The 27,186-nt window shown below is 39.1% G+C and overlaps 1 protein-coding gene and 1 long non-coding RNA gene across 7 annotated transcripts in view; one reads left to right on the plus strand and one right to left on the minus strand.

Moving 5' to 3' along the window:
* The window catches only part of FGF13 (fibroblast growth factor 13), a 590,297-nt gene that overhangs the window by 88,686 nt on the left and 474,425 nt on the right, over positions 1 to 27,186 (minus strand). For 5 of the 6 annotated variants that reach the window (NM_001139498.2, NM_001139500.2, NM_001139501.2 and 2 more), the window contains one exon: positions 5,406 to 5,516. In NM_001139498.2, coding sequence (NP_001132970.1) covers positions 5,406 to 5,516 — 111 coding nt within the window. Of the gene's footprint in view, positions 1 to 5,405; positions 5,517 to 7,404; positions 8,306 to 27,186 lie in introns of those variants that run through there. The other variant, NM_004114.5, reaches the window with a different exon arrangement.
* Positions 8,695 to 13,193, plus strand: FGF13-AS1 (FGF13 antisense RNA 1). The gene is made up of 3 exons (NR_038405.1): positions 8,695 to 8,730; positions 11,312 to 11,397; positions 12,479 to 13,193. It is a non-coding gene; the product is annotated as an FGF13 antisense RNA 1 (long non-coding RNA).

Below are 27,186 nucleotides of genomic sequence, written 5' to 3' on the forward strand. Positions count from 1 at the left end.
AGTGTTGGAGGTGGGGAATCTTGATGCTTCTGGAAAGATACAGTCCCAAGAATTGTTCTGTACATTAAATAGTGTCATTCTCAACAAATTAAGGTTTTAAACTGCTCCCCAAGATAACTGCTGAAATTCTCACAGTCATATTTAAAATCTACCTGTTGGGTAGAGAGTCCTAGACTTTTAGAAGAGTCCAATGCCCTCATCTAAATTATCTGTGTTATTCCAAATACAAGAACTCCAAAATAAATTCAGGTCTTGTAAAAAGAAAAAGTCATTTTGTAGTCCTATGTTTCCAGAGTAGTATTTCCTTTTTTCATTTTTTGAGACAGAGTTTCGCTCTTGTTTCCCAGGCTGGAGTGCAATGGCCCGATCTCGGCTCACCACAACCTCCACCTCCTGGGTTCAAGTGATTCTCCTGTCTTAGCCTCCCTAGTGGCTGGGATTACAAGCATGTGCCACCACGCCCGGCTAATTTTGTATTTTTAGTAGAGACGGGGTTTCTCCATGTTGGTCAGGCTGGTCTCGAACTCCTGACCTCAGGTGATCTGCCTGCCTCGGCCTCCCAAAGTGCTGGGATTACAGGCGTGAGCCACCATGCCCGGCTTCAGAGTAGTATTTCTTAAAGGACCAACATTTTCCAAGATTAGAGTTGAGAGGGCTCCTAGCTTTTAGTCTCCAAGAACAAAGGACATAGGAATAAAAATAATGAACTTGAAAGAGGTTTATTTTATTATTTTATTATTATTATTTTAGCAAAATAGTTGCAAGTGGGCAGCCAGTTGGTGCCAGTGAGGACTTCATTTCTCCATTTGAAGATCTGACTGCGTGAAACTTACACCCAGGCTTTCCTCACAACCACACACCACTCACTGGAGACAACTAGTGGGTGTCCTCCCACTACCAGCTGTCTACTCCCTCCCACACTGTGAATAAAAATAAAACAGTACATTTTTAAAACGTAGTGCTTGCCACACACATCTTTTGAAAATAGCCTGTGCACCTTTCTCTCAGGAGTCGTAGACCAATGTTGATGATTTTGCCTTGTTTTGTAAGTTTATTGAGGATAATAAATCAGTCTGTTATGGTTTCTGTGAACAAGAATGTAAAGGAGTCACCCTGTGGGTAAGAATAGTTTTTCTGGGATCGTTTATCTCTGTGCATATACATTCTGCTGCAGTAGGTGGGGTAATATGGATGAGAAATACTAATGAAGACCTAAATATTCCTTGGTGAGCCTACAACGTATCGTTCCTTTAAAACCAGGGTGTTACCAAAGAGGAGCTAGGACATATTGTACGGTTCAAAAGACAAGTGTTCCTACCACATGCCACTGATGGCACTTCATTCAATACTCATCAAATTAAAAGCTGTGCCCTTCTGTTATGTGAGGTAAAGGAATGTAATTGCACAGATTGCAAGCCAAGATCTCATGCTATATTTGACAATGCAATACACAGGCAAGAAGTCTGACATCTCTGAGCATGTCATGTTTGTCATATCCCTTTCTGTTGACGATGTCTTGTTCACAGCAGGTGTTCAACACCCATTTGTGGATTGATAGCAATCTGTATGGTGAAAATATGATACTATGTTTTTGAAAAGTAAGAGACCACAATCCCATTTATATAAAAGCTCATACTTCAAAAAATCTGAGATCTAAAAAACTAAAGCAAAACTTCCAACATGGGGTTGGTTTAAAAGCCATATCACTACATACCACTTGACAACTATAATATCAGTATATGCTTGACACCTAGTTTAGTCATAGTAATAAATGACAGAGAATGATAAATGAAATTCAGAATTATTTATAGAACTTCAGTTTTTAAAATAATATTATGAACTTTCTTAGTTCTCTTAATGCAGCTTATAACAAGCACAAGAAAGAAACAGAGAGAGACTAAAAAAAACTGATTTGATTTTCACCGTGTTCTCCAATCACTCTGACTCAGGTTTTAATGAGCAATGAAATGTCTAAATTTCAAACATCAGAAAACAGAAGGAGGAATAGAAGAAAAAAACATCAGCAGTACATTCCTGTGATTATTTAATCTTGAATAATGGTATTAACTATATAGCAAAACTATGTACTTTTCACTATGTACTTTAAATTTCCATGAAGCCTGATTAAAAAACAAAAAACATCACCCCAAAATAAAAACTTGTTGAGAGTAGCGAATCTAGGGATTGACTGATCATACTACTACGATCTTTTCATTTCTTTAAACATTCAAGATAGATCATAAACCGGGTTTGTTTAAAATATGTCTAAAGGGACAGTCTGCCCAGATAAAAATGCAAAGAAATTATATCAGGGGTGAGCTTAAACCAAATAAATATCCTCCTATGTGCTTTTGTTTCTCTATATCTGGTACCTTTCCTCATGGATTTAATATATTATTTTGATCAGGATAAAAATACTATAAACATGAGAAGAAAACAGTTGACTTCATTTATGGATTTAAAACACATTCATTAAATACCTAAAATCTCTTCTTCCATTTCAGTGAAAGTTTTGAAGAAGCTTTTAAAACATAAATGTGCCTGTGTTTCTTGTTTGTTCTCTGTTATGTCTGCATAAAAACAAACACCTTCTATTTGAAGGGCCACTTAATCAGAGCCATGTACCTAGTTGGCACCCAGTGTTTGCTGAAGGCAACACTGAAGCCATGCTTCTTCATCAGTTGGCCAAGGTCAATTTCTCAAAAGAGAATAATTAATGAAAGTATATATTAACGTAGGTTGGAAAGGCAACATGTTGAACTGATAATGCTACCGTGAGTTTGAAGAGAAAGGGAAAACTAGTCTTTTAAAATGTCCTTCCTTGCACCCAGGGCAGACATAATAAAATTACTGCCATGGAATGTCTATCATCTTTTCCTTTTCAAGGGAAAATACATAATTTACAATGGCTGATTTCCTCATGATGAGATTTTATTGAACTGACATTTATCATTGTAATAAATCTACGTAAGGTAAGGTGAAATGCATAATATCAAACATATGTTTTCAGAAATGGATATATCTGGATAAATGTGAACTGATTTATCAGGACATTGCTTACTATGTCTGAATAAAAATAACGCAATTCAATCAAATTAAACTAAATGAGAAAATATGCTGAAAATAATGAAGGTTAATAAAAATAAGAAGAGTAAGAAAAATATAAACATAGTATCACGAATACATATTAGGGAAATATTATATACATGAGTGATAGTTGAAAAAAACAACTTGTATTCTCGTTATGCACAATTAAACAATTAATACCAATAAAACGGCTTGGTTTTAAGGAAAAAAAAAGAATACATTTGGATAGCTGGCCTTCATGATATACCAGTTTAATCATTAAACCTTCTTGTTTCATGATGGCTTATGCCCCACAATATCCTCAATGGCAAAGCTGAGCTAGCTCACTAGCTTCTGGTCACTCTTAACATCAGGAGCAGATCCAAGCTCTACTGACTTGCTATTTCTATTGAGATACTTTCCATTTGTATGCATCAGGTTATGACAATACTTACCTTTAGTTGACTTACCTCTCTATTTTAATCTGCCTAAATACAGATTCCTGTTATCAGGCTATGTTCTTTAATGGTCTTTCAATATCATTAGTAGTACACAGAAATGCCATGCGTATCAGTCAGTTATAAGACAACCAAAGGCAGAAGCTATGCATATGTAGGAACTGAAGAGTAAAACCTACTGTATGATTTAAAGCTCCACAGTAAGAAATGGAGCCTTGATATATGCGTGTGTGGTGTGTGTGTGTGTATCTCTTAAAATGATTACTTAGAATGTGATCTCGATGAATTTGGTATATTGCTGTTCATAGGACACAGCACATGAATTATCTACTTTTTTTTTATTTCTTTTCAGGAAACACATGTGAACACCAGATCCAAAATATTTCTTCTCTGATTTGTACCCGGAGATGTTAAAAAGGGGAAAGAAACGTGACTGGATAGGCTCACTGGCAGCTAATCATGAACTTGCCTTCAATAATGCTCAACAGACCCATTTTCCTGAGGCACTCTGGAAAGCAGGGCAGCTTACATCCCCTAATTCCTTCCCCAAATATCAATTTGCACAATAACTTATGGGAATGTTTTATTGCAGATGATCACTATACACTAATGTCTGTTATTTGATTACAGTAAAGCCCTCTAGTTACACTTGCCTAATAGTTTCAAATAGAAGACTATGCATAAAAGAACAACTAGGATTTACTATAAAACTTTAATATCACAACAGTGACATAGAACTTTTGCAAAACAGTGAAGAACCATTCAGTATGAGGTTTTTTCATCCTCCATACCAACAAAGCTTTCTTCAATGGTAATTAAAAGTGACTTCCTCTCGAGGTTATAGATCGGCCATCAGCCCACGAAGCATTCCTAAAAGGTGGGAAACTCTTTACACTTATTGAGACCCTCGTCAATGGCATTGCTGTAGCCATACAACTCTTAAAAAGCTGCAGAGTATACTGCTTAGCATTCAGACCTAGTTTCCTTGGTTATTTTCTCAGCCGACAATTGGAATATTAATGCGAAATTATCAAAGGGTTTGAGAGAAATTCAGTAGAAATTGGAGAAAACAAAAAAAATTGTGAGAACTAAGTGTTTTAGCCTTGTGGAACATTTAGTAAGTCTCCAGAAATCTGTAAATTGCAAGAAAACATCAATCATCATTGAGGAGAAGCCTGCACTATTTGTGAGTTTATATTTTTATTACTCCTAATAAATAAAACATGTAATTAAAGGTTACGTAACATCTTGGAATCACCTTCTTTCAGTAATTGGAAATAAAACCTAATTATTTTTTATGTGTTTCTTTTTTAGGCTCACCATTATAGTCTCCAATTTGGTCTGAAACCATGGTTAAAAAGAAAGAACTAAAAGAAATCCCTTTACCCACCTGCGGAGGTATCTCAATGTTAAAATTCCACTAGTCTCAGAGTTATCAGTGTGTGTGTGGAGCAGGGAGCAGAAGTGAAAGCTTGTAATGATGAATTTTCATGGTATGAAACCACTCCTCTCTCTTGGGTTAAGACCGGTTCTTAAGAGTAGAGATAACATGCTATTTCTGGATCAGTGTGTGGGTGAGTAAATTTTCTGTGGGAAAAAAGTAATAAAATCCAAAGGATAGCCATAAATCTATCTAGATTTCCATGGAGATGACATTTGGATTATTCTTCAGATGGTGTCAACATTATTTGCCCTAGTTTACTATCTTAGACAGACTCATATTCAACTTCCTTTAGGTTAACCTGTGTAAACAGGATTATGTAGTGTGAATATATTTTGCATTTAATTCAGGATTTAGGAAAGCGTATTTATTTTTAAAATAAATAAAAACAGAATGTTAACAACATGCTGGCATATACTATTTATTTTGCAGTCACTTACTGTAAGTGCTGTCCTCATCTTTGGTGCCATCAATGGTTCCATCCGCCTGCAGCTGCAAGTGGTAGCCTTGTCGGCTGTATAGCTTGGTAACTATACCCTTAAGCTGAGGCTCTGCAAAGAGAACAATGATTTGGATCAATTGATAAATTGTGCCTATGTAGTTGAAAAGACTAGGAATTTCAATTTCTAATTTCATTTACAAATCTTAATGGAAAAAGTCAAACTACACTTTTAAGGTGTCTGGAAGAAAGAAAACAAACTCTGAGTTTCAGAATAAATTTTCAAACTAAAGAAACATTTTATTTCTATCTGGAAACATTGGTAAAGCTTCTGAAAGTGTCTATAGTTTCTGATAACCTGTCCTTTGGTTTACAGAGTGGAACTCTATCTCACTGAGTATTTGTAATGGGTTGGCAAATGGCTATTCTGCCTTTTGAAATTGTGCTACTTTTCATGTGAAAGGAAAAGGAGAAATAGAAAGATAATTCAGAGTTGTCTGCCAACCGACCAAGGACCAAAAACCCACTAGCAAAGATTTCCTTCAGAATGACCACAATTTGAATAAATAATCTCCTTTATTCTAAGAAGGTAGAAAATGCATAAATAACGTGGAACCCCATTAAGGAAACTGTATTTGGAAAATTGAGCCTTTTATACCAAAAAAGGGAGGAGGGAGATACAACCACCATTAACAAATCTTGTCATATTAATTATCATTAGTGAAAATGTGTGTGAAAAGAGCAGGGTTTTTGTTGGTAGGAAGGAAAAAATCAGTGCATACTAATTTTTCAAATTTCATATCAGAAGTATGATTATCAAAAATATGAGTTCTTAATTAAAATGATTTTCAATTATGAATAACCATAGATCAATCAAGTGTCTCATTTACCAATAACAGCCATGTTATCCAAAATTTTCTTTTACTGAATATAGACTCCTGCGCTGAAATAATATTTATGTGATTATTCGAGCCACATAAGCATGCTTTGCAACCACTTAAGCCTTTTTGAAACAAGCCTAATTTACAGTTAATGCATTAAAAACTTTGTGCAAACAGAAAACGTTATGTCTGCTTTTCCATCCCAGGGTGTAGCACACATAAATGGAGAAATAACAGATCGGTGACTCTTATTTTTTTTGTAATATTTATCTAGTAAAAGGCAGAAAAGAGTGTAAAAGATTCATTTGGTTAAGAATGGCAAATAAACTGCATGCTCGCCTGAAGGTCTGCCTTGACGCAACCTGACACCTAGAGCTGAATTTCCAGTCGCTGGAATATCGCGCTACTCCTACCACTGAAAATGTTCAAAAGCACCACAGTCTGGGTATGAGCTTAAATCCCCTCTTCAACACCGCATTTTAGTAGCATGTAACCGATTACACTAAGTCTAACCAAATCTCTCAGCTCTTTGCAACAAGGTTCTAGAAATCCCCCCTCCCCCCGCCCCAGCAAACATTTCGAAGCTGCACCACAAGTCAAGTCTGTCCCAAAAAGCTTAAAAGTCATCAAAGAAACGCAATGCCTAGACAGCAGAAGCCCACATCCCTTGGAGGTGGAAGCTGGAGGGGAAGGGTCTGAGGCAGAGATAAAAGCAAGAGAGGGATTCCCCAGGCTCTCCTGGGGACGGGAGGATGGTGTCTGCCCAGCTCTGCGCCTGCAATTTCCACGCCATACATATCACAGCCATGTCTGGGTCACGCCTGCCCAGAGCCCACCGGGCATGCACATATGTGACATGTCCGAAGCTGAGGGCAAGCCACCCAGGGCAGAGTATGCCCCCAGGCTCTGCGCCTGTCCCAGGGCAGTTGCAATGCAGCAAGCGTGTTACTGTTACGGAGGCAAGAAAGCCAGCGCCTTCCCACGCACGCACACAGGCTAGGTGGCCTCTTCTGCACAAGATGGGCCACCAACAAACTCACCTATGCTACATACCTGCTCCCCACCGCCCCCACCTCACTCGTAAAGTATGGGGAAAAGAAAGCAAAAGCCCTTTCCGACCTGGTCTTCTTCTGCGCCTCTTCTTGGAGCCGAAGAGTTTGACCCGGGAAAAGACATTTAACTTGTTTTTGTCGCAGCTGGTCTTGCCTTTGCTGGGGCTGCTGACACACTTGCAGGCGTTGGATTTCTCGCGCTCGCGGGCTTGCCTCTTCTGACGGATGAGCGAGCTGGCGATAGCCGCCGCCATGGCCACGACGCCCACCACCACCGCTTCTTTTGCTGCCCCTCTCTGGGTTCGCCTCCTCCTCCTTCTCCTCCGCTGCTTGTCCGCTGTCTCGCGACTTCGCCGCTTTGGTCTCCTTAGCCTGCGTTTGCCCGGGCTTCTCCGCACTCGGGCTTCAGCCAAGGAGGGGGCTCAGCATGCCGTCCGAGCTCCTCCGGCGGCGGTCCGGCTCCCGCGCGGGCTGCTGGCTGCCTGGGTCGGAGTCGACGCCACAGCCCCGGGCCCGGGATCGCGGGCGAGACTGGCACGCGGATGCTGAACTGCGCGACTGCGTGTGGTCGGCCCCTGCGCCCGGCGGACACCGTGCATGTCCAGCTGCTCCGGTCCGAATTTCGCCGGACCCCCTCGCCCTGTTGCCCTTCTGATGGGGGCCAGAGGAGGGAGGCGGGCGGAGGGAGTGAGCGCGGGCGGGAGAGAGGCCGGGAGCTCGGGCGGCCGGACGGAGGAGGGACGAGGCAGCGCGCGGGGGAGCGCGCCCTCGCCCTGGCCCCTCCGAGTCTTCGACTAGTCCTTGCAACTTCTTGGCGTGATAATCGGGAAAAGTTGGCCCGTGCCAGGTTTCCGACAGGGATCAAACAGGTAATGGCCTCGCATCTTCGCTGTTGCTGCTGCTCTGGGCGCGGCACAGTCGCAGCACAGGAATTCAGCCGCCGCAGGCACCCTCCGGAACAGCGCGACAGCCTCCTTGCAGCCCCCTCCCGCGACGGCCCCTCCCTCCCGGGGCTGAGCCCGTAGGCTCGGAGCCGCAGGCCGCCCCTCCCACCCCCACCCCCACCCCCACCCCCCCAAGTCCCCGGCCGCCCGTTCCGGCTAACACCTGTAGGGGCTTCCGCACTGCCCCAGTCGTCCAAATCCTTCTCCCCTCCTTTTCCCGAAAGGAGCTTCGGGAGGAAACAGTGATGGAGGAGGAACTGAGATGAGGTAGTTGGGCTGACGGAGCGGGGGTTTGCTCGGCATTGGGGGATGGAGTGGTGGGGGTGTTTCCTCAGTGTTTGAGCTGACCAGATTGTGCTCGGGCTGGAGCCCCTCAGAAGTTCGCCAGATCCCTGCCTCAGGCTTGGACGCACCAACAACCCGGAGAACCCTCACCCACCCGCGCAGAGGTATTTTGCTTGGCGACACTTGTAGCCATTCAGGGGAGGAGGCCAGAGTCCCCAGACGGGTTCAGCCCCAGCGGTAGCAGCAGAAGCAGACACTGCAGAGCTGCGCCCGCACACCACGCTGCCACCCAGTGGTTTTTGCTGACTTTTCATTTCAAGCCAATTTGTAGGGTCCAAAACCTGTTTTTCCTCTGCGCCCCCTCATCTGTCCGCTCAGATTTGGGATTCAAGCAGAGAGCTTGGGTCGTGTACCGTAAGCATTACGTATTTGGGAAATGCAGAGTCGAACCTCTCTATTTAAGCTGTGGCCCATCTCTAATCTCCTAACTTATTTTTTTCTGCTCCTCCAAAGTCAGGCAGCCTCCTTCCCTCCAATTCAGGAACCAGTCTGGCTTTTTGCTGGCCTCAGTCTATTAACAAGTTCTGTCCTCTCCCTGTGTTATATTTTATTCTGGAGGAAAAGAAAGAAGAGGTTTTGAGGCCAGAAATGCAGCAAAGAGAAATGGCCTGTCTACATCCCTACCTTCAAACAGACACAATTATTTGACTATTTTACTTGATTTCTGAGGCCAACTAGGAAGCAAAATAGAGCAGCTCTACTACCTGGCAGCCCTACACCGTCTTTACTGGACTCCTACATGGCACCCCCATCACCTCTTTTCAGAACTAATGTAGATGCAAAACCAGATGCTCAGCTTATCTTCAGACTCTAGCCCTTTTTTCCTTGCCTGACTACCCAACAAACAAGCTCGGACTCAGCAACACTGAAATGCTTTCAGGCTTCTTAGCCCATAAGAGCTGAATCACCGGACCCTTCTGTAGATTCCATTGCTTCACAGGGGAAGCTGTTGCTACCCCTCCTTCCACTTCTCTGCAATCTTGAAATGTCTCTTGCTCCATCAGAAGCACCACTGTGTGTCTGCAAGGCAGACTGGGGTAAAGGTTGCAGTGGGTTGAGACTGATAGTTACAGGAGAATGATGCCAAAGGGTCTGACATTTTCTACCTACTCTTTTGTGCTTTTGGCTTTCCCAAATGAAAAGGGAGGACAAGGTAGACGAGAGTTTTAACACCTCAAGTCTATTCAAGTATCCACTTCTTTAAAATTTGATTCATAGGGAAAAATAAATCCCTGAGGAATGACTGATTGATATTGATTCTGAAGAGTAGGAGGCTATTTCCTAGTTCAAAATGTTTGTGATTGTTGTTTAAATTCCAGATACCATGAAGGGAAATATCTTACATAAAGAGGGGTCAGGAGAAGCTTTGATCAAGCCCAAATATTTGGGGTGGGTGATGAACAGGTACAAGGTCTCTGCTTATTCTCTGCATGTTTTTACCTTCTGCCAAGCACCAACCCCAAGGGCCTTTTGTTCCTACTCTCATTTCTCTCTTGGGATCCTGACCCAGAGCAGGCATGCAAAAGCTAAAGAAGGATGAAGTTCTGATTCAGGAAGGGGATAGACCTTAGAAGAAGAGATGGTATTGAGAAAATCATAAGGGCTTTCCCACACCGTTTTTCCTCCACTTCTCCTCTCAGATAGCTCTCACTGTTTGCTTCTGCAAACACCATTCATAAGGTATTTTCAGGACGCCTGTAGAATTATTGGTGTGGACACTCTGTGGTACATATTAGAGGTAAACAGACTCAGAGAAGACTTCAGGAATATATAATAAGAATGGCGGGGGCATTTATTACAAATTTGCAAACACAAACTGTAAATACATCCTTTTGTTTCTAACTCCTGTCTACCATCCACATAAGCTCATGGAACCACTGGGCCAAGGCTGATAACCAGGTGATTCTACACGTGTTTGTAGATGTCCTTCTTGCTCTAATCCTTCTCTCCCTGATTAAATTGTATAATATTGAAAAATGAAGAGTATGGGGGAGGGGGAACGAGACTCTCCCTCTGTCACATGTTCCTGCCAACCCACAAAAGATATTTCTGTCTTTTTATATCCTGACCCCCTTGAATCTTTTGTTTTCATGAACAGGAAAATGCATGGCACATTATTAATGAGACTTGAGAAGGGGGCATCTCTCTGTGATCTGTCTGTCTACGGACCTCATTCATTCTCCTCTCTCTTCCACAAAGAGAACTCACAAAGGCCTGTGACCAGAGGGTAAATTCAATCTGGGGCAGAAAGTGAAAGAAAACCATTTTGAAATTGGGTCCAAATCATATTGCTCAATGAACTTAACCATTAATAATGCAGATATTGGCCAGGCGTAGTGCCTCACGCCTGTTATCCCAGAATTTTGGGAGGCTGAGGCAAGCAGATCACCTGAGGTCAGGAGTTTGAGACCAGCCTGGCCAACATGGTGAAACCCTGTCTCTACTAAAAATACAAAATTAGCCAGGCATGGTGGCGCCTGCCTGTAGTCCCAGCTTCTTGGGAGCCTGAGGCATGAGAATCGCTTGAACCCGGGAGGCGGAGGTTGCAGTGAGCCAAGATCAGGCCACCACACTCCAGCCTGGGCGATAAGAGCGAAACTCCACACACGCACACACGCGCGCGCACACACACACACACAAAGCAGATATGTTCGCGTTTTCCTAACTCTCATGTCTATTTCCCAGGTGCTTAAAATTTCAGAGACGAATGTGAATATTACTTTCAAATCTCCAACAGGAAACTATGCCAAAGTCACATCCATCTTGAGAAGGTATAATGAAAGAATTGCAGCCAATCCTAGAGAAGCATATTTTGCTTGTCTTTGCTGTCCCACTGCCATCCTGGGCCAATAGTACGACATTTGTGTAGGGGAAGTAATAAAGAATTCTCTTTTGACACCTATTTCCAAATCCCTTTTTCTCCAGTTTTGATTTGTTCCTAGCAGTTCACATTGTGGCCTTGCTATGGAACTTCCTGGATCTCCTCCATATTTGTAAATTTCAGTTATCTCTGCTTATCCCTGGTGGTTCAAACTCTTCTATGCTCTATTCTAAGGTAGGGTCTATTCTCCGTTGTTTCTCCCACGTGTCCGCTCTCCCATTGCATTGTCCACCAACCTCTCTTTTTGACCATGTTCAGAAAGAAAGCATTCTTAGCTTTTTTTTCTAACTCAACTCCCAAAGAGTTCTAGCCTGGCAGGCTGGAAACATATGTTTTAATCCTATCTCTGCCACTAATTGGCTGTGTGACCTTGAGTATGTCATTTCTCCATATTACAGGCCTCAATTTTCCCATCTTTAAAGTAATACTTAGACAAGATTGGCAGTTTTCACTTTGTATTCTTCAGCAATCTAAAAGTAATGAAAAGTAATAAAAGTTCCCTCGCCAATGTTTCAACAGTAGATTTCATCTATTTTAACTGTTTTCATTCAACTGTTTATTTCTCTTTCTCTTTTCATCTGTTTTATATAGTGGAGCTCATTGTATGATTTCTTACGTAAAAAATAAAAATGAAAAGATTCTGGTACTAAAAACAAAACGTTTGGAAACCTCCAGATGACATGTTCCTTAAAGTCCTTTTGGCTCTGGGAGCCTATGATTATTTTTCCCATATGTTCCTGTTCCTACTTCTTTATCTTCCCCTCTTCATACTTCCCATCTCTCTGTTCTCTTCCCACCCCATGAGAACATAAATTCTAAATTGGATTCCAAGGAAAAAATGCAAAAGTCCCTTTGATTCCACTCCTCGTGGGTTCACTTGAGAACTAGGTTTTAGCATTCTTTTCAGAGAGAGTTATGTGAGTTATCTGGGCATAGAATGCTGATCGTTCTCTGCCAATCTCTTTTGGCAGGCCTCAGAGGAGCTGTAAGGAAGCTGAGGGGACCTGCTCTCAAGAGGCATCTCCAGGAGAGAGACAGAAACCCAAACAGATGTGACTGTGATGAGTAAAAATGAGAGAACTCAGACAGCCTAATCGGGAGCAGCCTCAGTCCATTCTGAGCAGAAAGGAATTGGCTGTCTTTCTGAAATTCTGAAAATGAGAAATTTCAAACACCCTTCCTATGTGAAGATAAGCTCACTCAGAATCACTTGCCAGTTTGTTCTCCTTCTACACTAACAGTTCACCAAAATATCTGAGTGGGAAGTTACCTGGTCAAGGACTGATGATGAGCTCAAAGAAAGGAAATGTTGGCAGATTCAAATGCACCAACGTCGAGTAACACTGGGATCTCCCCATTCACTAAGTAAGGCAGCAGAGAGAGTATTTACGAGATGAGGTAGCCAAGTACCACCTTTTGTGGTCTAATTATGTACAAAGGCTCAGAGAAACAACTGGATAGAAATACAAATGAGGAGTTTAGAGAAAAGCTAACAGAATAGGCTCTTTTCAGCCAGCCAGGCACAGTGGCTCACACCTGTAATCCCAGCATTTTGGGAAGCTGAGGCAGAAGGATCCCTTGAGCCCAGGAGTTCCAGGCTGCAGCAAGCTATGATCCTGCCACTGCATTCCACCCTGGGTGACAGAGTAAGACCCTGCCTCTAAAAAAAAGAAAAATAAGAAAAAAGAAAGAAAAGAAATAGACACTTAACTCCAGGAAGAAAAATGCAATTTAAGGAAATCTTGTTAGTGTCACACTAGAATGCCAGGTAAAGAAAGAGTGACTACTGTATTCTGTTACATACCCTGACACATATATTAGCTGGCAAAGATTAGATCATTTAGGGGAGTTATACTTCAGAAACAAAGGTCTCCAGAACCATCCTTTTAGAAACTGATTGGCCTTCCTGAATTGCATTTAGAATGAAAATCCACAAGACCTTAGGCTTGCATCACACTAGGATGGTGGCTTGGTTTTCATTATGTCCTGTTTCTGAGATCATTCTCTAAATACTTAAGCTATAGAATTTACTGATGCTACCTCTGATTTATATTTAAAATCAATTGAGAAAACACTGATTAATTCTGATCCTTAAGAAGAAAAATCCTATAACCCACATACAAATTTCATTGTTCAGTCATAATTTATGAACATTAAAGCCATAAAACGCCCTGATGGTATTAATCATGTCTGTGAATTCAGCACTTCACCATTTAATTAGCCATGGCAGCTGCAACATCGAGAGTTCAAGGCCTCTGATTACCTGCTTGGCCATTTAATCAAGAAAACCTGGAGAGAAATAGCAGCTTTCTGGGGCGGAGGTTTCTCCCTTAATCTTGAGGAGAGAATACAAGGAAATGAGCTTAAGCTTTAATATGTGGGGATTTAAGTTTTGTACAAGGAAAACATTCTTTTCAGTGAGCGTTGTTAAATACTATGATTGATTGCTGATTTTTCTTCTATAAAACCTTTTATGAATACAACAAAAACCTTTTCTATCTAGCTAGGTATGTGGGTTGGTTTCCATTAAGACTATCATTCTGTCATAAAATCTACACGACTATTTGTATAACCATGACCTGCCACCAAGAAGTAATCACTAGGAGAGTGGAAAGGGGCAGTAACACCATTATGAGAAGGCAAAGGTCCCCTCTGATAGGGCATGGGGATTGCTAGTGTTTTTGTTGTTGTTGTTGTTGGTTTGTTTTGTTTTGTTTTGAGATCTGGTCTCTCTGTCACCCAGTCAGGAGTGCAGTGGCGTGATCAGCTCTCTGTAACCTCTAACTCCTGGGCTCAAGCCATGTCCCATCTCAGTCCCCAAGTAGCTGGGACTACGGGCACGTGCCACCACATTTAACTATTTTTTTTTTCTAAGGCTAAGGTCTCACTTTGTTGCCCAGGCTTGTCTCTATCTATCTCCTGGCTTCAAGTGATCCTCCCGCCTTGGCCTCCCAACGTGCTGGGAATTACAGGTGTGAGCCATAACACAAAGCTAATTGTTAGTGCTTTTGCCTTTGGAAGATCATACTGGATGAACTTGGAGCATGTGGATCAAGGCAGTCACATTCATTTCCTGAAGTTTCTCTCATCCAACTTGCAGAAAACACTTTGTAGACACAATAAATGTATTATTAATCAAATGGGTTGCTTCAGTGGTGACAGAGTGTCTAGAGCCAAGAAAAGCATCAGGTTCTCTAAGTGAATTTGATTCTGTTTTACTCAATAATATTTGAAGATCTTGAAGGAACAATTTCTATTTTATGAACTAAGTGATGGCTAACAAACATTAAGTGAGGTGCTTCTATGGTGAGACATTTATGGCAGGCTAAAAATGTACAAGAATCAGAGGCAAAATATCTGTAACACTGGGTTCATTTCTTGCCCAGTGAACTAGGTAACCTAAATGAAAAGCTAGGGGAAAAAATGATGGAGGATTTGAGGCAATGGCAGACAACCTAATTTTTCTGGATTTAAGCCAATTCAGGAAATAAAGTTACTGGAAGGTGACCTAAACTCAGTATTTGAGGAAAGGAATGCAGTGTGGGCAAATGATCTAGTGTCTGTTATTATTTAGCATATGGAGGCAAGATTCACAACCAGCATTAAGGAACACTGGATGGATTTCCTACTTGCCAATGGCACTGTTTGCTCCAATTTCCTATCAAGAATTTATATTTTTTAAAGCAACAGAGAGGTAATGGGAAAATACTTTAGTGTTCCCTCAGGATTAAGAGTCTTAACACATCTCTTTTCAGACACTGACCAAGATTTGGGGAGAAGAACCTGGTATATTCAGAGAAAATACTATCCTCCATATTCTAAGGAGGAGATGAAAGACAGGTTGATAACCCACCTGAGAACTGTGCAGATGCCCTAGATGATTTTTAAGCTCTCCCTTCTGCTTTAGATTTGTTTTTCCCAAAACTGGGGTTGGAAATGGTGATAACACTCAATAAATACTATGGTTATAGTTGGACAAGCAACTTGTTAAGTGCTATAACCTTAATCCCTTTAATCCTTACAACAACATGTAAGGTAGGTATTATCATTATTGCCATTGCAAAGGTGAGAAAAGTGAAGCCTGGAAAGACTAAGTGATATGACTCTGGTTTCCTGGCTAGTACATAAGTGGAAGTGCAAGTATTTAAGCTAAGGATCCTGAGCCAAAAAGCACATTTATGTATACAAGGCCAGACCTTTAAATACTACTTCTTTCCTCATTGGCAGTGGGTCTGGAATTTGGGTTGCTCAACAGTGGTGCCTGGATGTGACTATGTTTTGGCTTGGGGGACTGAACGAGATGAAATATAGCATGATTTTTCTAATCAGTTTTTTTTTCTTTAACAAAAGTGAATTATGAAATAAAAATAATACATATGATCTATGCCTAGTTATAAGCACAGTTCATAACACTCAATAACTTCTTATAGCAATATTTAAAGAAAACATTGCTAACTTTCTCATGAAAATTATAGGATTATAAAGCACTACTTAATGTTATTCTATGTTTCCTAGCCCAAGAAATAGTTTAACACTAGAACCTGTTTTGACTCAGGTAATCTGGGACTTTGGAATGCTATGAGACCCAAAGGACACTTCCCGGCCTTTCTCTCCATCACTACTTAGCAGAGACAAGAAGTTAAAGCACTCCAAACACTCAGTTCTTTTCGTACAGGAAAAACTGGCTTTCCACACTGTAAGCTTTTTTGTGCCATCTGTTTTTAGCTACAGGAAGCTTGAGTTCAGCCAAAAGAGAGAAAAATATTATACACAGTGTATTCACTTCCATACTCGGAAGCCCATGACTATCCTTTTGCAATTAGGAGCTTCTCCAATATCTATTCTAGCTAATTTGCTCTAACTTTTCTCTTCTGACAAACAGTTAAAAGTACAGTCAACAGACTGAAATTATTTAGTAACTTTTCGTGCAACCACTGAAGGCCTCAAGCAATTTTAGAAACTGATTTCCTAACAGAAGCCTTGATGCTTACCTAATGATTTCATTTTAGAGAAGAGATCTGAGGCAAGAGAAGTTGAATACATTTGGCTTGGGCCATTTGTTCATTTGTTCATTCATTAATTTATTCATTCAACATTTACTGATAACTGTTTGACAAGTACTGAGCTAAGACCTGAAGGATGCAAAAATACTAATAGCTCTAATGTATTGAGCACCAACTCTACTCCGGGCACTATTCAAAGTACAATAAATCATTACTTATGTCATTGATATGTTCTTGAAAACTGCAATTTTAAGCGAAATGACATAACGAAACCAAATTTTTTTCTCATCAACATTATAAGGAAACAATATTGAAAGAAATGACATTATTTGAAGACCTGCTGTATGTCATCTCACTTAAAGTTGCAATTTCCAAGAACTTATTTATGACATTTAAGCGAGGACTTATTGTACTTTGTTTACTCTTTTAATACTTATAATAACCTTATGAACTTATCTCCATTTTACAGATTAAGAAGCTGAGATGAAGAAAGGCTAATGCATTCATTAGTGTAGGGAGTGGTGGAGTCAGAATTTAAATTTGTGCATACTGCCTTTATATTTCATGTTTTAAAAAATGACTCTACTGCCTCTCCAGTGACTGTCCCTGGCCTCAAGTGGAGGAGAAAGAGAAGTAAATAGTTAACTAAAACACAAGTGTGGTAAGCACTTTAAGAATGATACTAAATATCCAGTGTTTTCAGAGCCCAAAGAGGGTGCAGCTAACTCCGTGGGCAGGAGGGCAGGAGGGCAGGAATTGAATCCAGCTTCAGAAAACAAAACCTGTCACTGAAGATGAATGTGGGAGGATGGGAAGAAGCTCAGAAGTTGGGGAACGAAATTAGGTAAAGCCAGACTTCAAACCTGGATTTCAACTGACTACTGGTACTATATTCTTCTTACTAGGCCATATTACTTTCCCTCAGGTAAAGAATTTGCAAAACCTTAGATTTTTATATCACTACCCTTTGAACATCAACCACTGGGGACTGGGAGAAATCGACTATGCTATGTGGATATTCTGATGAACATTTGTAAGTTTTTATTCCTTGCTTTAAAGAGATCGTCTTCTTTTTCCTACTGATCGCATTCAGTACATATTGTCAACATTGATGTTCAAGTATACAGTTGTTACTGATTTCTGACTGGCAACAGCAGAGGGTGTAGTAGAAGTAATCCCTTTAGAAAGATGCCAATAAAAATGAAAATTACATTGGCATGTATGTCATGGTAAGTCAGCCATTCTCCTGATATAACTGGCGTGAGGTTGGAGACCAGAGATTTTTCACATGGGCAGTCAATAAATAATTTTTATGATGATAAAACTTTAAGGTAACAAATTAAAGATTGTGTGAAAAGACTGTCCAAGCCAGGTAATGCCAGTAATTCATCTATATAGATTTCAGTATTCCTATAGGAGAGGAACAACTAGGATTTGGTTGGTATTTGAATATATTGAAAACATATTGAAAATTTCCCTGCTCACTGTATTCCTCTTCAATTGTGCTTAATCAGTTTTTCTATTGCTGTGCTTCAATTCTGGAAATTTAGCTATCAACTCTTTACTTATTGCCTCTCTTTAAATCTCTGTTGTTCTACTGAAACTTCTGTTAGGTGCATCCTACCTATTCTTCCATAAAACATAGAAATAACGGATAAAATATTCATTTTATTTAGTCTCTCCCTCATGATTCCTTACTTCTCTTTCCTAGTTCCATCTCTGTATCTTTCTTTGCAAAATCTGGGTGCTTCACTGATCCCCTCTTTAGCTGGATTTATCTGTTGATTTTGTTTTTATTTCATTGGTAGAAATACTATATATTATACAATAATATTTTATGAATGGCATACAAAATCATATCTATACACACAAATGTTATATATAAAATATATATACACACATATATTAAATACATATATATATTTACAATTTCTGTTTGGTGTTTGATAATATGTCTATTTTTTCATAACGTTCTGATCATATCTTAAGAGTTTTATTCCTTTATCTTACTGAACATTTTGATCACACTTATGCACTTATGTTAAAGCCTCTTTCATATTGCCTTATTTCTGGAATATGAATTACTCTGGTTATTGTCACTGCTGACCTACCTCATTCCAAAGAAGAATTGAAGTGGCTTACAAAAAGGTGCACAAGAAAATAAAATTGAAACACAAATAAAGAAACATGAGAGTGAACGACCAAGAGTCAGATGGTAGAGGAGGCCAGCAGGGTTTCCAACCAAGGTTTCTAACTCTTAGTCTCACTCCCTTTCAGCTCCATTAGGCTGCCTCCAAAAGCTTTTGAACCACTGGGTGGTGACTGGCAAGAGATTTGTTGGCATTAATAAAAAAGTAGCAACAATTTTGACCTCACAAAGCAAACAGCCCAGTATCTATTTGAATAATCTCCCATCAAATGTAAGCACTGAAAATTGAATCCAAACTTGAATTACGGCAATTATCCTGCTTGGATTAGAAGCCTAATCAACCAACAGACACAAGTAAGGTGAAATGAGCTGAAACCACAGAGAAAATTGGTCCATGAGAGGACAGGGGCCTGGGTTTAATTTTCAGAGCTACATATATGTTTAAAAAGGTAGCTCTATTTCTGAGATAATCTAATTCAATTTTGATCACATCACATTTTATAGATATCCACCTGCTCCCGGGTTTTGATGAGAGTTTAAATAATAAAGTGGCTTTACTTGGATCCTATGCTTCAACTAGTATCACAGCTATCATTTTCTTAAGTGTTGTACTGAAATTGAAAATGATAATATCTATAAAACCTCTCTAGTGCTGACATTTCCAAGTCTCTTTTCCAGCACAAACAAAATTAGAAAATGAAAAATATAACCTTTCCCACTCTGTAGTTTCTTTACAGGGTATAAAATAGAAAGGTAGTCTATATTCAAGAATTATGGCCAACTAACAGGAATAATAATAACAGTGATAATAATAATAGCAGCTAACATTTTCCCAAGCATTTACTCTGAGCCAACCATTGTTCCAAATGTTTTACATGTGTTAACTTATCCAAATCTCATAACAACCTTCTGAGGTAGGTACTGTTATTAGCTTTATGTTATAGGTGAGGAGAAAAGATACGACGAGATTAAAAATTTTGCCTAAGGTCACACAGCTAATGGATGGTGGAAGTAGGATACTAACTCAGACAGTCCTGCTACACACAGATATGCAAATAATCCTGATTTATAGTTATTTGGTCAGAGGGATGGATTGTATATTTTATGAATGATTTCAGACCCTCTTCTACTCCCTCTTACTTTCTTTCTGTTTATATCACTGTCAATTAACTTTCCAGTAGTAGAGGCTCAGAGATGGTAAAACTACCACTAAATTTATAGAAAGTTGTATGAATTTCTTTAAGAAGTGGGAATACTTCTCCTTTCCTCAGTTTTTTCCTATTTATGGTCATTGCAGTAATTTCTATCATCCTTTGCAGCTTTGAAATCACTTCTTCACATGTAAACAGCTCACCCTGGTGTTGCCATGGAGATTTATATCAATGCCATGAGCCAGGGCCTAATTTGCGCATTCTGCTGATTAACAGGAGTATTTGCTAATCCCTGCCAAGCTCTCTCATCCACTGCCATGACTAATCTCACCGGTTGGCGATGCGTGGAATTCATGAATGCTAGAAACCCATCATCTTAGGTTATTTAACACTTCAATTCTGTTCAGTAACAACTTAATTAAGTCTCGAGGGGAAAAAAAGGTCAACAGAAAAATAAAATTAAACCTTTTAAGAAATTAGTTAACAAGAAGGGAACGTTACAATTCACTGCTGTGAAGCAGAACTAATAACACAATAATGCAATATAACATAAATGGTACATTTCATCTTGGGTACTCAGGGGGTGATCATCTGACCAAAAGGTAACTATCATTTGTTAAGAGAATTCTCTGAGCTTGTCAGTGTGCTAGGTGCTTCAACATATGTTATTTCTTTCATTTTCACAACACTCCTATGAGGTAGGGTGTTTTTATGTTTGTTTTGTTTTTATCAGGTAAGAAAATTAAGGCCCAGAGAAGTTGAGTCATTAGCCCAAATTCACACAACCAGCAAGTGACACTATGTGAACAAAGCTGGGACCACCCAATCGTGTCCGACTCCTTGCATACCACTTGAGTGGAACTGTACACGGAGCTTACTTTCCATCCAATATTTTGATTTTCTGGAAGACAGAAATAAGACAAAGGAAGAGAAGCTGCACGGAAATAGATTAGGGCTCATTTTGATGAAGACATTTCCAACAATAGGGATTGTATAAAAATAGGTAGCATGGACTATCTTGAAAGGTAATCAATGTCTTGTCACTGGCAATGTTCATAGAAGGGCCATGGGATCACACAGACCTATTCCAGTACCAATCAGATGTTGTGGAAGGGATTCTTGCATTTAGTAGATGATTGAATGGTATCATCATAGACCCTTTTGTCAAAGCCCTCACACAAAGACTACCAGAGAAACCTGCTGATCATACAAAGCTGGGTATGTGAAACACACTAAGCAAGAGAAAGTCCCCCTTGACAGAGTCTCAGTACTATGTTAAAAAGGAGGAGTTAGCAAAGAGTACTTACAGGGTTTTCAAGGCTGGGGTTAGTCAAAGGTAATTCATTTTAGGACAGAAGTTTTTAAGTATAGTGCTTAACAACGCAGGTTAGAATTTGTAAACTAGGCGAATTGCTGGAATAGTCAGTGGTCTTATCTTTAGGACACATAAGCCATGTGGAATTACTATTAAAACAGTCTGAGCTAAAAACCAATAAAAAGCAAAGAAACTCTCACAAACCAGAGGAGATTGAGGAGATATAATGACTAAATGCACTGTGCTATCCTGGATTGAATCCTGGAACAGAAAAAGGGCCTTAGTGGAAAACCTGGTGAAATCCAAATAAAGTCTGGGGTTTAGTTGATAATAATGTACCAGTGTTGATTTCTTAGTTTTGACAGATGTACCATAGTATGTTAACTTTAGGGAAACCTAGATGAAGGGTATATATGAATTCTCTGTACTATATTTGCAACTTTTCTGTAAACTTAAAATTATTCAAAACATTTTTATAAGTTTATTAAAAATATTTGGAGTTTCATTTGTCTTTCACATCATAGTTGGCTTCAATTTATCTATTTTGCGAGCTATGGTTCAATATGTTTTACAACTTACAGTTTACTTCATTTCTTACCTTGATCTGGAAACCACCTCAGAGAACCATCTGGTCTGAACAGAGTTTCTACTTAATTCGAACTATGGGGAAATAAGTAATGCGGTATTATGGGACTGGAAAAGATGTATGTAAAATAAGGCCTATTTTTCACTCAGTCTTTTTTTCCCTCTAACTTTATAATTTCTGGAGTTAAGGGGACCATCTTGAGTACACGAATAATACTGCACCAACAGGTCTGTAGGAGAAGCATGCACATCCTTCGTCACTGCTAATAGAAAAGCAACAAGTAAAGACTACTGAAGGCCATGATATGGTTATTTACCCAGGGGATAAAACTCCCTGGATCTAAGAGCCAGTGCACGAGAAGTCAAAATGGGTCAAGAACAGTTCCTTTATGTCTCATTCAATCAGAAACTGCACACTTGTTCTTCCTAAGCAGTACGGTAAGATTTTTCAGCATTAAGAGTGCCAGCACCAGACATTATGAATTTCAAGTCTGTACTTCTTCAGGGAAGCTGGCTGCAGATGGTGTTCATGATTGCAGTAGAGAAATGCCATTTAGGGCAATGAGTATTGATAATATAATGGATTTTTTCCTAACGGTATTTGGCATGTATTTCTACTGATATTTACTTATAGGTACTCAGGAAGCTTGAAGTTCCTCCCCCCCACAACCCTCCTGTAAAAATATTATATTATTGGTAATGAACAAAGCATGACTTTGCATTTGCAAAAGTAAGGACTAGGCATTATAATAAGGCAACATTTGTTATGGGTTTGCACATAACTAGAAACAGCATCGAGTTGTATAAAAGTTGCATTGTCATTGCCATTTTTCAAACTACAGGCTTGGTGGAATGTCGGAAAAAAAACATCCTGGGGTTTGAGTATCAGTTTTCCTGCCAACTCGTCTTAAACTTCAGGAAAGCTCCATCTATACTCTGGGCATCTACTTCCACACCGATAAAATGACAGATCTAAGTTACATGACCTCCAAGGCCTATGGACATGAAAGTTCTTCGAATTTAGTTAGTCCACCACTAATCAAAAAGACAATAGTTTTGAGGGTTTTCATTTGCTACATCAAATTGAAAAAAAAAAATCATGCAGCACAGGAATCCTGAAGCCCTGGGGTAAGCTTCCCCCTTAGTGCAGAAGAGGACTATATGGCAGAGTGGTTAAGAGCATGGGCTTTATAACTAGGAAACTTAATTGCGAATCTTGATCCAGTAGCACATTAGATATGTGACTTTAGAATGCTATTTAACCTCTCTGATCTTCAATTTTTTCTATTGTGAAATTTAAATAACTTTAGTGTCTACCTCCTAGGGTAATTGGGAGAACTAAATGGTTAATATTTGTAAAGAGTTTAGCATGTGCTTCGCATGTAGTACAGACTCAATAAATTGTAGTTGCTGTTTTTGTTATTCTTCTTGTTGATGTACATACACTATTAAAGACAGCTTTATCTGCACATACATTTTGACAAAAAGTCATAATCTCTTATCTACTGTAGACCAACTGAGACGACTGATACTCAGTTGAGACCTCTAATGGCCTCCCATCTCCTCAGCTTGCCCTACTATGGGCTGTGTGAAATGGAGAAGAATAATAGCAAATACTTATATTGCACTTATTCTATGCACCAAACACTGGTCTTACACATGTATTAATTAACCTAATCCTACTGATGAGGTAGGTACTGTTATTACTCCTAACTTTTGGATGATAAAACTGAGAGGTAGGGAGGTTAAACAATTTGCCCAAATGGCAGCTAGTACATATCAGAATCAGGATTTGGTCACAAACAGTCTGGCTCTGGAGTCCCTACTTTTAACACTTCGCTCTGCTGCCATAATGACAGCTCATATTTGGTAAGTGCCTACCAAGTACCAAGCTCATTATAAACCATATCTGTAATCGTTACAATAATCCTTCGAAGTAGGTATTATGTGTATCTCATTTTTTTCTGATATGGAAAGTGATGCTCAGAAAGACTAACTTGCCCGACATCACATAATGAAAAGGAATAAGATTCATTTTTTTTTTTTTAACTCAGAGGCTTTAGGAAATAAGGCAAATTTTACTCTGTATCAAATATCTAGAAGGGTTAGTAACTGCAACACCAACATTCTGTCTGGGAAATATGCATAGCACCCCTATCAATGAGGCACAGGAAGCAGTAGCCTTCATTGAAGCCCCCCCTGCTGCTAGTTCAGGCCCCCCAGGCACTGGGGAGATCTGTAGATCTCTTCAACAAGAAGATTTTCTCTTATATAAAGGGAGAGAGTTACTGAAGCACATAAAGAAAGCTATCATATGAAATTCAAATTTGTTCAACCTTCCTGAGAATGAATCTTAAGTGAACAAAATAACATTCTGACTAAAGCCCATAATCACATTACTTTCTACACGATGAAATACAATGAGATGCATAGAGAAAATAACTGTGGAACAAATCCACCCTATTTAATTATATGGGAGAACAGTTCTAGATTTACCATAGAAATACATAGGATATCAATGTGAAGCTAATACATTCTTCATACTCTACTAAGAAAATATACCTAGGAAAAACGTGGAACTAGGCTAATGATTAATATTTTCTTGTCTTTAAATTAGGTGTTTGAATATATAGCCCATAAACAATGCTCCCCAAAGCATTACAGTGAACATGAACAATAAAGAGATGGAAAAACATATATGTTCTGCAATTTCATGCTTTCATCTTTGGACATTAATTTCATGTAACTCATTTCAATTTTGTGCAAAAAATGTCTCCCAAGTTCAAAAGGTTGTAACAATAAATATGAAAAAGAAGACAGATGGGAAAACTTATATGTTAACAGTGACTTTTATTCATCCAATATTTTCATATTATATTATCCTTTCCAAAGTCAAACTTAGCAAAAACTAAAGAAAAATGCGTGAATTAATACTCTGAAGAGGATCCTTACATGCAGTAAAATATAAACACATTTATATTAGATCAAAGCCTTTTATGAACCATAAGCCATCATGGAATGGCTTATTTGATAATATTTCACTCTAAGTGATATAATTTTTGCAACTTTCTTGTTTTGGCTCCGTGGGTTATAACTCCTGGTTCTCCAGAGTTTCAGAGTGGAATCCATCTCTCATCTAGCATTTAAATGGGGAGTATCTCCCATTCCCAAATACTCCATCCCTTGAGCCATTGCCCCTTGAAACTTTAAAGACTATTTTCATTTAAAATTTACCAAGAACAAACTCTGGTATCCAAATTGGAGACTGGGTTTAACCAGGCAATGTGTGTAATTATTGCTTACTCAAGTATGCACAGAGTTTTGGAATATTAGGTGGCTGGTGGATATTTTATTTACATTATATTGAGTTCACATACTTCTGCGATAATGGTCCTCAGGCACAAGTCTAATATATGCTAGTAAACAAATTTCAGAAAGTATGAGTTAAAACCCTCCCACACTCTAGGCTTTACAATGAGTGGGAAATAGTGACCATCTACTATTGGGAGAGGGGAAGGAGGGCTGAGAGAGACCTCCTCTCCCAGTCCTAGGTGCATAGTACAGGAAGGCTAGGAATAACATCTGAGAGACACCCCATGGGCATTGAGTACCTTCAGTACACTGATTACCACCCATTGACCCTCTACTGTTGTGAAGTGTAAAAAATATAAGAGAGAAAACACCCTCCTGCCTGTGTTATGGAACACAGAGCTTGCAGAAGTATGGCGTTAAGAGAACAGAGACAAACCATCCAGGTACTCAGAGCTAAAGCATTGCTGTAGATAAGATGGTGATCCTGCTCCTAAATAAGGTAAAGTCTGTGGTGAACTGAATGTCACTAAAGCTCAGATCTAGATCAATATAAGAGTAGATTGATCCCAAACAAAATACTAATGGCCTAATAGAAGAAAAGGTATTCTCATTTTTGGACATTGACATAATTTACTTCAGTTTCTGTTCTTTTACACATAGTGACTTGCCTTCAAGTAGAAATTAGATAAACAACAAGAAAAGACTTACAAAAAAAGGAAGAATATATGAAACATACTCAAGTGATAGATCTGAGTCTCAGAGATGGCCCAGATTATGGGATTATCAAACAGGGACCATAAAATAACTATGATACATATTTTAAAAGGTCTAGTGAGAAAAGCAAATGACATGCTTGAATAAATGTATTATTTACATATGGCGATGGAAAGTACAAATAGAGAAAAAATTGAAAAGCTAGAAATAAAATGTAGAATGTCAGAGATGAATTCTTTTTAAGAGCTAATCAGTTGACTGAATATAGTAGAGAAAGGAATTTGTGACTTGGATACATTTGAAAACAAAGTATCCAAATGCAACAGAAAGAAAGAAAACAGTCAAAAAAAATTGGAACAGTGTGTGATATCTGTGGGACAATAGGAAACCATCTGGCACATGAGTAATTTGGAGTCTCAGGAGAAGAGAGAATCAAGCAGAAGTATATGAGGGGATAATGGCCAAGAATTGTTCAAAATCAATGAAAGACAACATGTTATGTATCTAAGAATCTCAGAGAATATCAAATAAGCCTAATAAAACAAACAAACAAACAAACAAACAAACAAAAAACATCTAAGCATATCATAGTCAAACTGCTAAAAACCAAAGATAATGAGAAAATCTTGGAAGCTGGCAGAGAAAACAGAAACACTACCTACAGTGGGACTACAATAAGAGAGATATATAACTGCTGACCAAAACAATGAGGGAAAGAAGACAATGGAATATCTCATCTTTAAAGTGCTGAAAGAAAAATAAAATCTGCCAAACTTGAATTACATATCCAGCAAAAATATTCTTCAAAGATCAAGGTAAAATAAATAAGTTTTCAGAAAAAAAGAAACATAGAATTTTTCTCCAGCAGATAAACACTAAAAGAAATGAACAAAAAATGTTCTTTATAATGAAGGAAAATTATATCACATAAAAATCCAATTCTGCAGGAAGAAATGAAAAACACGAAGAGTAAATAAATTTGTAAAATATTAAAGATCTTTATTTTAAAAACAATGTGTGCATGTCCAGGCCTGTCGTGGGGTGGAGGAGGGGGGAAGGGATAGCATTAGGAGATATACCTAATGTAAATCATGAGCTAATGGGTGCAGCACACCAACATGGCACATGTATACCTATGTAACAAACCTGCACGTTGTGCACATGTACCCTAGAACTTAAAGTATAATAATAAAAAAATAATAATAATGTGTGCATGTATATAGAAATTACATCAATGAGTATTGACTGCTATTAAAAATAATAAAATTGTAATGAGAGGTTTATAGCACATACAGAATAAAATATGAGAAAACAATCATGAAGTTTGTAAGAAAATTGGAAGAATAATGTTGTAAATGTCTTACCTTGTTTGTGAAGTAATAGAATATGTTTTGAAAGTAGCAGAGATAATTTAAAGATGCATATTGTAATCTTGAGAAACTGCCAAAAA

The sequence above is a fragment of the Homo sapiens genome, chromosome X, assembly GCF_000001405.40.
Source record: "Homo sapiens chromosome X, GRCh38.p14 Primary Assembly".
In the NCBI taxonomy this organism is placed as follows: domain Eukaryota; kingdom Metazoa; phylum Chordata; class Mammalia; order Primates; family Hominidae; genus Homo; species Homo sapiens.